Here is a 14923-nt window from a genome sequence, read left to right as displayed (position 1 = left end):
ACCCACACGCGCACACACACACACACACACACACAGAGTATTTTTGAGACTAGAAGGTCAGTACATATGACCGGGATACTCATTTAAAGAGATAGAGGGGCAGAATATTTTAAATTGGATCCTTTCCCTAATATAGCTGTTTTCACATTTACACGGAATTTCGTGTTCTGTTACTGCAGGAGGTCCTCCAGACTGTTTCAGCTTCAGGGTCCTCCCAAACCTCTTCCTCCAAGACAGGCTGTGAATTTTCCTGGGTGTCCCCACCAAGTCCCCTGGACTACTGTGGATTTCTGGAGTTTCCTGCCCAGCCCCACCTGTGGGTTGTGGGAGGAAGCTGAAAGGAGAAAATGAGAGCTCCGAGGGTGTCATTTGCCCAAGGCTTTGTGGATAAGAAGTGGTGGAGGCCTGGCGCGGTGGCTCACGCCTGTAATCCCAGCACTTCGGAAGGCTGAGGCGGGCGGATCACAGGGTCAGGAGATCGAGACCATCCTGGCTCATACGGTGAAACCCCGTTTCTACTAAAAATACAAAAAATTAGCCAGTTGCGGTGGCGGGCGCCTGTAGTCCCAGCTACTCCGGAGGCTGAGGCAGGAGGATGGCATGAACCCGGGAGGCGGAGCTTGCAGTGAGATGAGATCGCGCCACCGCACTCCAGCCTGGGTGAAAGAGCAAGACTCTGTCTCAAAAAAAAAAAAAAAAAAGAAGTGGTGGAGACACCCCGCGAACTCTGACCGAGGGCTGACAGTCTTAACTATTATGCTCCACTGTTGTGCACCTCAAACTGAAAGTGCCCAGGAGTCTCCTGGGACCTTGTACAAATGCAGATTCTGATTCGTTAGGTCTGAGGTGGAGCCTGAGATTCTGCAGTTCCAACAAGCTCCCAGGCGATGCCGATGCTGTCCACCTGTCACCCACACTCTGAGAACTATTCATCTAGAGGGTCACGCCCCTGACTGCATTGAAATCACTGAGGATCTTTTAAAAACTGCCACCTTGGCTGCACCTCCAGAAATCTGATTGAATTGCAGCAGCCTGGGCATCATGAAGTTTGTTTTAAAAAAAATTCTTTTCTTTTTCTTTTTTCTTTCTTTCTTTTTCATTTTTTTTTTTTTTTTTTTTTTTTGAGACAGAGTCTCGCTCTGTTGCTCAGGCTGGAGTGCAGTGGCATGATCTTGGTTCACCGCAACTTCTACTTCCCGGGTTCAAGCAATTCTCCTGCCTCAGCCTCCCGAGTAGCTGGGATTACAGGTGCACGCCACCACGCCCAGCTAATTTTTGTATTTTTAATAGAGACGGGGTTTTGCCATGTTGGTCAGGTTGGTCTTGAACTCCTGACCTCAGGTGATCTACCCGCCTTGGCGTCCCAAAGTATGGGATTACAGACGTGAGCCACCATGTCCAGGCAAAAAAATTTTCATTTTAAAAATAGAGATGGGGTCTTGCTATGTTGCCCAGGCTGGTCTTGAACTCCTGGGCTTAAGTGATGCTCCCATCTTGACCTCCCAAAGTGCTCGAATCACAGGCATGAGTCACTGTGCTTGGCCTGATCATGAGTTTGAAAAATTCCCTGGGTGGATCCAGGTGCTAGCTGGGCTGAGAACCACTGTTCTAGGGCTCTTGTTGAGACCTCATCTGTTTCAGGACCCCCTGAGATTCCTGCCCATCTGTTCTCCTGCAGAATAGTCCAACCTCCACCTCTGGCATAGGGGAGACCAGACTGGGATGGACTTGGGGTCTCCCTTGACCCTCTGTCCTGTCCTGAGCTAGTTTGTTGGACCAGAGATGCTCTGGGTACCGCACCAGTTGGAGTAGGCAGGTGCAAGGCTACATCTGGCAGGGTACAGCACAAGGAGAGGAACAAGGTCTCCTCTGGGGGTCCAGGAGACACTTCCAAGCTGCTCTTTGCTGAAATGTTCAGCTGCTAAGCTGAAAATAACTTCGGCATTGCTGAGGAGGCTACCTGGGATTCCCCTCCTGCCAGGAGGAGGGGAAGTAGGGGCCCTGGAATCCCAGGGAAGCTGATACCACCAGTCTGGGCTGTGTCACCAAGTCCCGGAGTACTGAGTGTCTGCCACCAGCTGTGCAAGAAAAGGGGTAGAGGACAGACCTAGTGACTCTCAGCCCCTTCACGATCCACAGTGATGAAGCTTGTCTAGCCCAGCTGTGCTTCAGTGATGTAGGGCTTTACTGGAGATGCTTCAGAGGGTGCATTATTTTCCTCCAGCTGTTGTAACAAAGGACCACAAACTGAGTGGGTAAAAACAACACAGATTTATTATCTTCCAGTTCTGGGGATCAGGAGTCCGGCACAGGTCTTAGTGGGCTGAAACCAAGGAATTCTTTTCTGGAGACTTTGAAGGAGAATCCATTTTCTTGTCCTCTTCAGCTTTTACAGGCTGCCTGTATCCTTGGCTCGGGGCCCCTTCTTCCATCTGCAATTCTAGCAACAGTGGTGTGAGGTTTTCTCACATTACATCACTCTTCTGCCTCCCGCTTCCACTTTTTTTTTTCTGTTAACTTCTCATTCCATAAATATTTGTTAGACATCTACGTGGCGTCAGGCACTGTTGTAGGCACTTTGGATCCAGCATGAGTGAAACAGACAAAATCCCAACTTTTATGGAGTATTTTCCAGGGAAGAGGACAATAGAAACAAGCCATATGTCGATATGTTGCCGGGCACCATGGCATGTGCCTGTGGTCACAGCTACTGGGGATACTGAGGCCGGAGGACTGCTAGAGCCCAGGAGTTCTGAGCTGCAATGCACTGTGTCTATTGGGTGTCCGCACTAAGTTCGGCATCAGTATGGTGACCTCCTGGGAGCAGGGGACCACCAGGTTGCCTAAGGAGAGGTGAACTGGTCCAGGTTGGAAATGGAGCAGGTCAAAACTCCCATGCTGATCAGCAGTGGGATCACGCCTGTGAATAGCCACTGCACTCCAGCCTGGGCAACACAGTGAGACACTGCCTCTAAAAAACTAAAAAACAAAACTTAAGTGTACATATTATAAAATATATTAGAAGATGAGTTCTATGGAGGAGAAAATGTAGGGAAAGTGGATAGGGAATACTAAGCCACTCTCTTCCACTTTTAACAACCTCTTCTGATTAGATTAAGCCCACCCAGATAATCTTATTTTAAGGTTAGCTGATTAACAGCCTTAATTTCCTCTGAAGACATAATTCCCCTTTGCCAGGTAACGGAACATGTTCACAAGGTTGTGGGATCAGGACACGATGTCTCTGATGGAGTTGTAATTCTGCCCAATTCACGGATTTCGGGGTGAATCTGAGTCTGAGACTCCGGTTGTCCCATCCTTTCTGAACCCTGACTTTAATCAGAGCAGTTTTGTTAAGTATCTGTTTCCATGCAATATTTCCTTTGTAGAAAGTATTGCAAAGCTAACAAAAGCTTTTCAACCAATGGTCTAGTCCCTTTTCCTGGACCAGCAGCAAGAGAACCTGGCAGCTTGCTAGAAATGTCCAATCTCTGCCTGAGCCAGGGTCTACATCTTAGCACAGACCAGGATGATCTGTGCCTACAGTGAAGTTTGAGAAGGACCTGGGAGGAGAGGGGGTAGTTTCCTGCCACCATGGCTGTTCGTTGAAACCACAGAGAGCTTTGAAAATATATTGAAGCCTGGGTCCTACCGAAGATTCATTGGCCTGGGGGTGCCAGCTGGGTGCTGGAGTTTTTTAGATCTCCTGGATGATTTTAATGTGCAGTAGAGTTTGAGAACAGCTCGTCTGGTCTATCCTCCCAGAAGAGGAAACTTCACAGGGAGTGAAAATGACTTGGCCAGGGTCACACAGAGGGTTGCTGGCCATCCTGGGAGAGGATTCAGGTCTCTTGACTTTCTGGATTGAGGACTTTTGCTCCTACCAAGAAAATAAAAACAATAGCAACAACAACAATTTGGGTGGAGAGACAGGAGAGAGGAAGAGGCTTTTCCCCTGTCTTTATTCTTCCTTAAAGTTTGAATTGTTTTTAATGTCAAGCATGTTGTAATTTTAACACATAAAAAATATTAAGGACTGGTTGATATGGTTTGGCTCTGTGTCCCTGCTCAAATCTCATGTCAAATTGTAATCCCCAGCGTTGGAGGAGGGGCTTGGTGGGAGGTGACTGGATCATGGGGGTAGATTTCCTCCTTGCTGTTCTCAGGATAGTGAGTGAGTTCTCATAAGATCTGCTTATTTAAAAGTGTGTGGCACCTACCCCCTTCTCTCTTCCTTCTTCTCTGGCCGTGTAAGCCATGCCTCCTTCCTCTTCACCTTCTGCTATGATTGTAAGTTTCCTGAGGCCTCCCCAGCCATACTTCTTGTATAGCCTGCAGAACTGTGAGCCAATCAAACCTCTTTTCCTTATAAATTACCCAGTCTAAGGTAGTTCTTTATAGCAATGTGAGAATGGACTCATACACTGGTTAAAAAATAAATAATAAAGAAAACCCAGGATTCTAATAATAGTGACTATTTTATTGAGGCCCTTTCATGTGCTAGGAACTCTGTACACACTTGTTCATGCTATCCTCACTGTGTCTCTCCAAGGTGAGAAATTATTGTTCCATTTTGCGCTTTTTTGGGGAGGATCTCCAGGATTCTATGGTTTAGGCACTGGAATCTTGCTGAACGCAGAAAACTTGGATGACCTGTGGTTAGCACTTGGCTTGGCCCCTGTTAGGAGGTGGGCAGTGTGTGTGTGTGCAGCAGCCCTAAAGATCTTATCATAATTTCCTGTTTTCACTTATGGCTTGCTCTGTGGATCGCTGAACTTTGACCAGGAGCAGAGAACCAGAAACAAGGTGATATGTGCCCCTGCTTACCTTCCCCTGATCTCGCATCTCCTTCCTTCCCTTTTCTTCCCCTTTCTTTCCCTTTCCTTTCCTTCCCCTTGCATTTCCTTCCCCTTCCCTCCCGTTCCCTTTCTCCCCTTTTCCCTCTGATCTGGGTGGAGACAACCCACCTGCCTTTCCCTTTTTCATTTTGTTTCCTGAATCATTATACAAAAAGATACCTGCACCCATATGTTTAACCACAGCACTATTCAGAACAGCAAAGATATGGAATCAACCTGAGAGGCCATCAATGGAGGACAGGATAAATAAAATGTAGTATATATACCTATATAAATACACACGCAATGGAATACTATTCAGCCGTAAACATGAATGAAAATTTTTTTGTAGCAACACGGATGGAACTGGAGGCCATGATCATAAATGAAACATCTCAGACACAGAAAGACAAATGCTTGTATGTTCTCACTTGTAAGCAGGGGCTAAATAATATGTACACATGGAAGCAGAGTGTGGGGTGATGGACGGTGGAGACTTGGAGGTGTGGAGGAGGTCAGGTGCGCAGGCAATAGGTGGTTGCCTGGTGGGTATAATGCGTGTGGCTCCAGTGATGGACGTACTGAAGGCCCTGACTTTAGCACAGTGCAACACATCAGTGTAGCAAAAAATAAATTTGGTTCTGACATAGTCTTGCAGCCTAACTATGCACTATAGAGGAAATGATTAAAAATGTAATTATTATTTTCATTTTTCAACAAGCCCAATGGATAATGTTTGCCTACTTTATTAGATTAGATGTAAAGGCGATAAAAAAAATAATAAATAGTTAATAGCATTTTTTGAAGCTTACTCCTTCCAGGCTCTCTCCTTGACCTGTTTAAACTCATTTAAATCTCACAAGTCTATGAGGCATAGCCTCACAGCCCCATTTTGCAGATTGGAAAATCGAGGCACAGAGATGAAATGAGCTGGTGCTTGGAAATGGCCCAGTCTGTGGCTGCCAGACATCTGGGAAGTGTGCGTTCATGGGTTTCCTCTTACTCTCTCTGACAGCTGTCTAATCAAATCCCAGTGCTTGCTGTGAGGACGCCCTGCAAGCCTTCCTTGGCTGAGGGTCCTTAACAAGGGAGATGTCGCCCCGTCGCTTCACCTCAGTTTCCCCTGCTCGGCTCTGCCTTTCTCTCCGAGGTGCTGGGAGGATTCTGTAAATAGTTCCCTCGAGGTGCTGGAAGCACTGGGTGGAGAAACTCACTATAAATACCCGGCACTTATAATTAGCCTTCATGGCGGCACAGTTCTGCATGTGGGGGAGGCGAACACCTGCAGGGGCAGAAAGTCAAAATGCAGGGGCCCAGGTCTCTCCAGAACTGCTTCTTGGCACCACCTGAGCCAGAGAAGACCCATGCTGAGTGAAGAATCCCAGATAAGAACACAGTGGCCCCCCGCCCCCGATCTTGCTGCAGCTGCAGACAAGAGCATTAAGGGCTGGTAGGAGCTCCTGGCTCCATTACTCCCTGTGAGACCTGCAAATTAGTGCAGTCCTCTGAGCCTCAGTTTCCACATCTGTAAGCTGGTGTAGTATACGATAAAAGACATCTGGTGGCTATAAGATTAATGGTAGCCATAAAACCCATCCGAGCATCTTGCGGGGCTGACACTACCTGTCACTTAGTATGATGCAGCCTGGCCCCGGGATTTCCAGGAGACAAAGTTAAATCGGCACAGATATAACTTTCATAAATCTTAAAATAAAGCTTATCCTCACAAGAATAGCTTAAACTCCTTTTATGTAAGAAACACCTGGTAAGGGACCTGGACTGAATATGGATAGAAGGAAGGGGGAAGGATCCCTCAAACTTTGATAATGGTCTCTGGATGGACACCCTCCCGGTCAGTCCGTCATCTGACCCCTGGCTGTGTCTGGCCATGCCACCAGCCTCCTGCTCCCACTGTCTGTCTCATAAGAAGATGCCAGAATAAGCTCCTTAAGCATCAGACTTATGTGCTAAGACTCATCTTTGGCATGGATCAAATGGAAGGAGAGAAGTTACCCCTGGGGAAACTTGTCAACTAGGACCACCTGAAACCCCTGATCATGACGGTTGGAGATAATCACTCCTACTGTGAATAATTAAAGATACTGTGTATAAAGCTCCCAGTATTGGTGCATGGAGTAGGTACTTGACACATTCAAGGTTCTTGTTCCCTTTGTGTGCACAACAGGGCAGACAGCATCTAAGGTGCAATCAGATGGCCCTCTCCCACTTAAAGACTGTCTTAGGCTCCCCATTGGTGGCAGAGGCACCCCATGCCTATGTCTTGCCCCCATGCTCCTCCTCTGTGTTGATATTAACTTCTTCTTCCTCTTTTTTTTTTTTTTTTTTTTTTGAGATGGAGATGGAGTTTCACTCTTGCCACCCAGGCTGGAGTGCAATGGCATGATTTCGGCTCATTGCAACCTCTGCGTTCCAGGTTCAAGCGATTCTCCTGCCTCAGCCTCCTGAGTAGCTGGGATTACAGGCATGTGCCACCATACCAGGCTAATTTTTGTATTTTTAGTAGAGACAGGATTTCACCATGTTGGCCAGGCTTGTCTCGAACTCCTAACCTCAGGTGATCCACCCATTTTAGTCTCCCAAAGTGCTGGGATTACAGGCATGAGCCACTGCGCCCGGCCGCTGATAGTAACTTCTCACTCCACCTCAAGAGTGTGCCTTGAGTCTTTCTGCTTTCTGCCTTCAGGTCTTCTTGGATGCTGTTGAAACCTGCTTAGTCTGTGCAAAAGTCTAGCCCAGAAGTACTGAGTTAACAGCCCGGGAGGCGATCATCAAGATAAATGTGCCACTATCCCTCCTTCAGGTAGAAAATTCCAGGAGGCTTCCTGCATGCTTTTCGCGAGGTCCTTGCAGCACAGAGCTTCTGTTGTTCTCAGTGGTGACCTTGATGATGGACATGTATATTGGTTTGTCTCCTAAATCTTTTCCTTTCCTTGTTCCTGCTTCCAGAAATCAACTTCCAAATCAACCACCTGCACCCAAATCCTGTCTCAGGCTCTGCTTTTGGAGAAGTCAACCCATGAGATCATCACATCTGGAATAAGTTCCAAATTCCTTGCTGTGGCTGCAGGGCCCTGCACAACGCTCTTCTGCCATTCCAACCTCACATCTGCTACCACTCTTGCCCACACCTGCCACATCCAGCCACACCGGCCTCCAGTCACTTTTCTTTAACTTGCCAAGCAATCCCTCCTCAGGGCCTTTGCACATGCTGTTCCCTCCCCCTTCCCCTTCTTCTATGTTAATCAGTCCTTCCTACAGCTCTCAACTTAAATACCAGTCCCTTAGAGAGTGTCGCTTCCTCCTCGCCTCTGATCTCTTGCGGGTTCCAACACCATTTATTCTCTCTCACAACAAATTGTTTCCTTTTCCTTGTACTATTTGAAGTTGTGTATTCATCTGAATGTTTATTTGTTAATTACCTGACTCCTTTTAGACTGTAAACACCATGTGAATAGAGATGACTTCTGTCTACTTCCATGAGCTCTAGAGCATCCACAAGCTCCTTACACATGAGACGTGAGTATTCATTGAATGAAGGTGGGATTCAGGTTGGTCAGTTTCTCCTGCATCCCAAGCTTACTCTACTCTGTTAGGCTATGGGATATTGGCAGAGGACTTTAAGGGAGGTGGGGCATGGGGGAGGGTTAAGAAGTAAGGGAGGCAAGAAAAGCCAGTCTCCATCCTCACCTTCCTTGCTCCCACTTCTCCAGGATCAGAGCATCAGTGGCAACTGAATGAGACATGCCAGTTTGGGCTCAGGCTCCAAGAGGACACATCCAAGTACATCTCCACGACCAGGAGGTTCATGCGCTTGGTCCTCTGTGCGTTAAGGGAGCTTGGGCATTTATCCATGACTTTGCACACCTGGTACCCAAGCTGTGATTTCAGGATTCTAGGTCTTCATCTGGAGCAAAGCTGGAGTGTGACTCCAGGGGCCCAGGAAGGCCAATCTTCATCCTAAGCCTCTGTAAGAATAGGGCCAACTTGAAGCTAGTATGTGTAACTCCGTGCATTTTCTCCAGAGACGCTGGAACCATAGGCTTGGCCAAAAAAAGATGGGATGTACTAATCAGTGATTTATAACATGCTGTCAGAAGTCCAAAGCTGCCTGGAGGTGCCCTGTACCAACTTGCTACATAGTTTATTGGAAAAACATAGATGGATGGTTGGCACCTGGTTTCAGTTATTATGCCTGGTTACTTAGACTGGTTTGGGCTATGTGACCAGAGGGAAATAAGATGAACATATGCCTTGGCTTCCCTGAGGCCCAGTTCTTCCCCATGCACTAGGGGGTTCACGATGCAGAGGCCGAACCAGTCCCGTGCGACTGAGGGGGGCCTTAGCAACTGCTCGTGGATGCTGTGGATCTTCCTGAAGTTGCTCCGAGTTTTCTTACTCTTATTGTTCTGTATCCTTTGCCTGTAATAAAACCATTCAGGGCCAGGTGCGATGGTTCACGCCTGTAATCCCAGCACTTCGGGAGCCCAAAGCAGAAGGATTGCTTCAGCCCAGGAGTTCAGAACCAGCCTGGGCAACATGGCGAGACTCTGTCTCTCTTTGAAATATAAAAAAAAAAAAATTGAAAAGAAAAACCTTTCAGACCTTTTACTTTGTTGGAGTCTTGTGAGTCCTTTTGATGATCTGACCCAGCATGATTGCTGCAACCTCTCTTGATGCTCGGCTCTAGTTCCTGGCAGTTTCCTCTTGACATCCAGACTGTAGAATCTTCAGGGCTCATGGGCTCTGGCCCCTGCTTCTTAAGGAGGAGAAGGTGGAGCCATGGGGACCTAACCCACATCTCATGGAGGTGACGGCAGGGCAGTGGAGCCTCAGCCTGAAGATGAATTGCCTATAATCACTGAGCAAGTTAGACGGGAAGAAAATAAATATGACTTATAAACCCATTACCCAGAGACAACAATGGCCCGCATTGTAATACACCATCTTTTAGCCTGTTTTCTCTACATATATATTTACATATAATTGAGATGTATTGAACACACCATTTGATATCCTACTCTTTACCTCAACTTTGCATTATAAGCATTAGCTGACGATTTTTATAAAGACTCCATTTCTTCATTTGTAAAATGAGAATAATAGTAATAGTGATGATGATGATAATACCAGTACCTATATTATGGGTTATTGTGGGGATTAGATGAGAAAATGTGTGGAAAAGGTTTTAGCCCGCTGTGTGGAATATACTAAGAGCTTAGCAAAAAATATTATAATATAATACTTTAAAATCATAAATGGTTGCAGAGTAGTCTATTGAGCGAATATGTCGTTATTCATATAACTATTCCTTTATTGAACTTACAGGTAATGTTTGAGAATCTTGGTATCTTAACTATTTTTTCTTTTTTTGAGATGGAGTTTCACTCTTGTTGCCCAGGGCTGGAGTGCAATGGTGTGATCTTGGCTCCCTGCAACCTCCGCCTCCCAGGTTCAAGTGATTCTCCTGTCTCAGCCTCCTGAGTAGCTGGGATTACAGGTGCCTGCCACCACACCTGGCTAATTTTTGTATTTTCAGTAGAAACAGGGTTTCACCATGTTGGCCAGCCTGCTCTCGAACTCCTGACCTCAAGTGATCTGCCCACCTTGGCCTCCCAAAGTGCCCAGATTACAGGCATGAGCCACCGCACCCGGCCTTGATATCTTAACTTTTAACTCAGTGTTTTTTTCTATAGCGCACCATATTACCTTCTAGAAATGCAAAATGTCAACACAGAAGTCACCAGACTCCATGTGGTTATTGATAATGATCACAACTGCAATAAAAATAAGGGGTGTCCTGAGCTACTTGACCCTCAGGTGACCAGGAGACTGTCTTGGCCTGTGAACATCTCGGAGCTGAGTGGGGCACGAGCTCACAGACGCACTGTGACAATAGGATATGATGTGTCTATCATGCAGATGTCAGCACCAGAGAGTGGACAGAGCAGGAGAGGCAGGATCAAGTCGGCCTGGAGGAGAGGCCAGCAAGGGCATCCTGGACCAGGTAGAGAGGTGGTGCTGCCAGGTTTATGTCCTAGTTTGAATTCTTCTGATATTGGAGCCTGGGACAAGGACATGGGTGCAGGTGTTTTATTTGGGAGGGGACCCCAGTAGGCAGGAGTGAGGGAGCAAGTAGTGTAAATCTCCGAAGGTGAAGAAGCCAATAAAAGGCATGTTATTGAGCTGTGGGAAACTGGGTCTCAGTGCTTCTGGGGACCTGGAGAAGCCACCAGAATAAACTTCAGAATTGTTCCTCTGCGTGTCGAGGGAGCTTGGGCATTTATCCATCAATGGTTGAAGGTTGTCCAGGGCGTAACTCTGCAATTCTAGGCTGCCTTGTGCGTGGAGACCCAAGGGAGTGAGATTCTGTAGTTCTGGAAAAAGCCCCAAAAGAGAAATGTAGAGGGACTTGGAAGGCTGTGGAGGAACTGTGTCAGGCGCACGGGGACCAGACACACAGCTGCAGCTGAAGCTGTTGGGTCAAGGGAAGCAAGAGTGGACGAGAGATTTGCTTCAGAAACGAGGATGACACAGTGCTATGGTGCCCTTGTCCTGCGATTTCACATCTTCCACTGTGGTCAGAAGTTTTCCCTTATTCTACAGTGAATTTTGCTTGCTGCATTTTCTTCCTGCTTCTCTTCTTGCTAGCCCTAAAAGGAGGTGCAGAGCAGCTGGCCACGGTCAGAGGGAAATGCTACAAGAGCCACACTTCTTGGCAGCCCGACCCTGCCAGGCTCCTTGCAGGCTAAACCAATGCTTTTTCTTTCCTCATTCTCATCATGTCTTTTTTCATTTCTTTTCTTTTCTTTTCTTTTTTTTTTTTTTTTTGACAGAGTCTTGCTCTGTTGCCCAGGCTGGAGTGCAGTGGTGCAATCTCAGCTCACTGCAACCTCTGCCACCTGGGTTCAAGTGATTCTCATGCCTCAACCATCTGAGTAGCTGGGATTACAGGCATGCACCACCACATCCAGCTAATTTCTGTATATATTTTTAGTAGAGTTGGGGTTTCACCATGTTGGCCAGGCTGGTCTCGAACTCCTGACCTCAAGAGATCTACCCACCTCGGCCTCCCAAAGTGCTGAGATTACAGGTGAGAGCCACAGCCTCATCACGTCTTAATCCACTTACACAGGTTGTGAGCCCAGGCCATCGCTAGATTATTGCTCTATCAATCAGGTGACCCAAATGCTATTGTCTCCCCTTGAATGATAGCTATGACTGGCATTAACTGTTTCCTGTAAGCCAAGTCCTGTGCTAAGTGCTTACCTTGTTTCACTTAATTCTAACAATTGCCCTTCATGGTAGGTTCTACAAACACTCCCATTGTGTGGATAAGGAGACTGAGGCTCAGGGTATGCCACCTTCTAGCATGACACGGAACTGGGCTCCAGTATTTACCACATCACTACTTCCCCTCTTTGAGCAAGTGTGCATTCATCTCTTTGTAATGTGACTTGTACATAGAAACTCAAGGGGCCACCTCAGGTGTCTTCTTCTGTTTCTTTTTTTTTTTTTTTTTGAGACAATGTCTGGCTCTGTCACCCAGGCTGGAGTGCAGTGGTACAATCACGGCTCACTATAGCCTCGAGCTCCCAGGCTCAGGTGGTTCTCTCATCTCAGCCTCCTGAGTAGCTGGGACTTCAGGTGTGTGCCACCATGCTGGGTGAATTTTTTGTATTTTTTTTTTTTTTTTTTTTTTTGTAGAGATGAGGTCCTGTTATGTTGCCCAGGCTGGAGGTTTTTTCTAATAACTTCACTAGAGGTTGTTTCTTGAGGGCCCTTTACTTACCTGCTTGGTCTTGAGTAGGAGACAACTCTTAGCACTTGTGAAAATGATAAAGTAATAGCAGGAGTTACTGAACCTTGGATAACTACTATATGCTTGTCATTTCTGTATCTGTTCGATGCCCATTGGACAGATGAGGAAACCAGGCTCAGTGAAAAGAAGTGGAGATTTACCCAAGCCACATAGGTGGTAAGTGTGAGAACCAGGTATGGAATTCAGCCTACTTGTTTGCAAAGCCCATGAGCTTCCCCTCTAGCCTTTACAGGGTGCAGTTTATAGAGTGGCCGTAAAGTCCAGTGATGGTGGTGACCATGCATCACAAATGGTTTATTGATATTAACATACATGACCAAATGTATGGTGCCAGCTGTTATGGCCCCCCTGTACGTGCCTGGTGTGGGGAGGGATTGAGAAAAGACTCATGATCACAGGTGACTCTGACATAGCCCTGGGTGGTGAAAATGATGTTAGGGGCAGAGGGAAGTCTGCACCAAAGTGCCAGCCTGGAACTGGGGGAGAAAGAGGGTGGGGCAGACTGAGGGTGATGCAAATTTGTTTTCTTTACGCAAGACATGTGCCTGCCAGTTAGAGAAAATTTGGCTCAAAGGACCTGAGCTCCTCTGTCACTTTAGAGATGGGGAAATGGAGGCCTGGAGAGAAGCAATGAACAGTCCAAGGCCCTGCCTCTTTTCAAGGCTGCGCCCACTGAATATCTGCTCTCAGTGGCACATGCTCACCACTCTGCCTGTGCCCCACCTCTTGGGCAACTCGGAGGATACCAGGGAAATGCGCGGTGACCTGTGCAGCTTCCCTCCTCCACTCCAGTGCCTCAGCCTCCCCCCACCCTGGTTTCTCCAGCTCTCTGACTAAAAGAACCCCTGAGGCACCCCACCCATCTGTCAACCCTCACCCGCCCCCTCTCATTTGGAGCCCTCAGGCCTGTGAGCTGTGGCTCCGAGGAGAAGCAGGGCCGTGGGTGGGGCAAGCAGGATAATTATAATCTTGGAAGGTTTGACTCTCAGGCTGAGAAGCAGGGAGGCAGTTCTTCCTGGCTGGTTTGGGAGCTAGGTCTGAGTCAGAAACCATCTCCCACAGCCCAACCTCCCATGGGTCTGCAGCAGCTGGTCCCCTCTTACCCTGGCACCACATCTTAAGCCAATTCATTCATTCATGCAAGAATTTGTGCATTCATTCATTTACAAAACGCTGATTATGTACTTACTGCATGCCAAACTCTGTGTGGAGCCTGGGGACACAGACAGGGGTGTGGCAGGGGTGATATGGTGTGCTGTGTCAGTCAAGCTCCATCAGTTGCAATCTTGCCTCCACCATTTACCAGCAATACAATTTTTTGTGCATCATTTAAGCATTCTATGCCTTGCTTTCCTTATCTGAGAAATGGGTATTATCTCCCTTATAACATAAAGGGGAGAATACATATAAACAGCTCAGCACAGCCTTTGACATGCTTCAGGCATGTTAACAGTTAACAAAATGTTGCTGTTAGTATTGAAAATTTTTCATTAAAGAGATGAATCCTGTACAGTTTCTGCTCTGGAAAAACTCCTAGTCTTGAGTAGAGATGGCATAGGGGTTTCATCTCACATGTCAGCTCTGGATAGAGGCTGCTTGGAATACTGTATCAAGAAAGACTCTGAGAATCAGTTTAGACCCACTAGGAAAAAGAGAATGATTGATGAGAATTAGGTTCTAGAGAAGGTAGAGGTGGCACATATGCCTAGCATCGAGTATCGTTACTGATTTAGTCCTGGAAAGGAGAAGGGATGGGAGTGGCAAGGGTAGTAAGGAATTTAGAGGAGTACAGAGTCAGTCCTTATGAGGTATTTGGGGCAAATGTTGGAGGAGTCAGGGCTGCCTAAGAGCTGTTCCTATGGGAATTTTTTTTTTTTGAGACGGAATCTCACTCTGTTGCCAGATTGTTGGCACAATCTTGGCTCACTGCAACCTCTGCCTCCCCTGTTAAAGCGATTCTCCTGCCTCAGCCCTCCCAGTAGCTGGGACTACAGGCATGCACCACCATGCCCAGTCAATTTTTGTATTTTTTTTTTTTAAGTAGAGACAGGGTTTCACCATGTTGGCTAGGATGGTCTTGATCTCTTGACCTCGTGATTCACCCTTCTCGGCCTCCCAAAGTGCTGGGATTACAGGTGTGAGCCACCATGCCCGGCCCTATGTGAATATTTCTAAGCATATGCAAGGGAGATGGATGGTCCCTGCTCTACACTGGCAAGAGAGTTTTATTAGAAAATACAGATTT

At 47.1% G+C, this 14923-nt stretch overlaps 1 long non-coding RNA gene and 1 pseudogene across 1 annotated transcript; both read left to right on the top strand.

The window, feature by feature from the left end:
• RN7SL493P (RNA, 7SL, cytoplasmic 493, pseudogene) lies at nucleotides 2675–2973 on the top strand (annotated as a pseudogene).
• LOC107984900 (uncharacterized) lies at nucleotides 7588–10243 on the top strand. Its single transcript, XR_001752076.3, has 3 exons — nucleotides 7588–7659; nucleotides 8293–8375; nucleotides 8570–10243. It is a non-coding gene; the product is annotated as an uncharacterized LOC107984900 (long non-coding RNA).
• Nucleotides 10244–14923: the final 4680 nt, after the last annotated feature.

This window comes from Homo sapiens, chromosome 16 (genome assembly GCF_000001405.40).
Source record: "Homo sapiens chromosome 16, GRCh38.p14 Primary Assembly".
Classification (NCBI taxonomy): Eukaryota; Metazoa; Chordata; class Mammalia; order Primates; family Hominidae; genus Homo; species Homo sapiens.
Note: the sequence above shows the minus strand (reverse complement) of the source record. Positions and strands in the feature narration are given on the sequence as shown.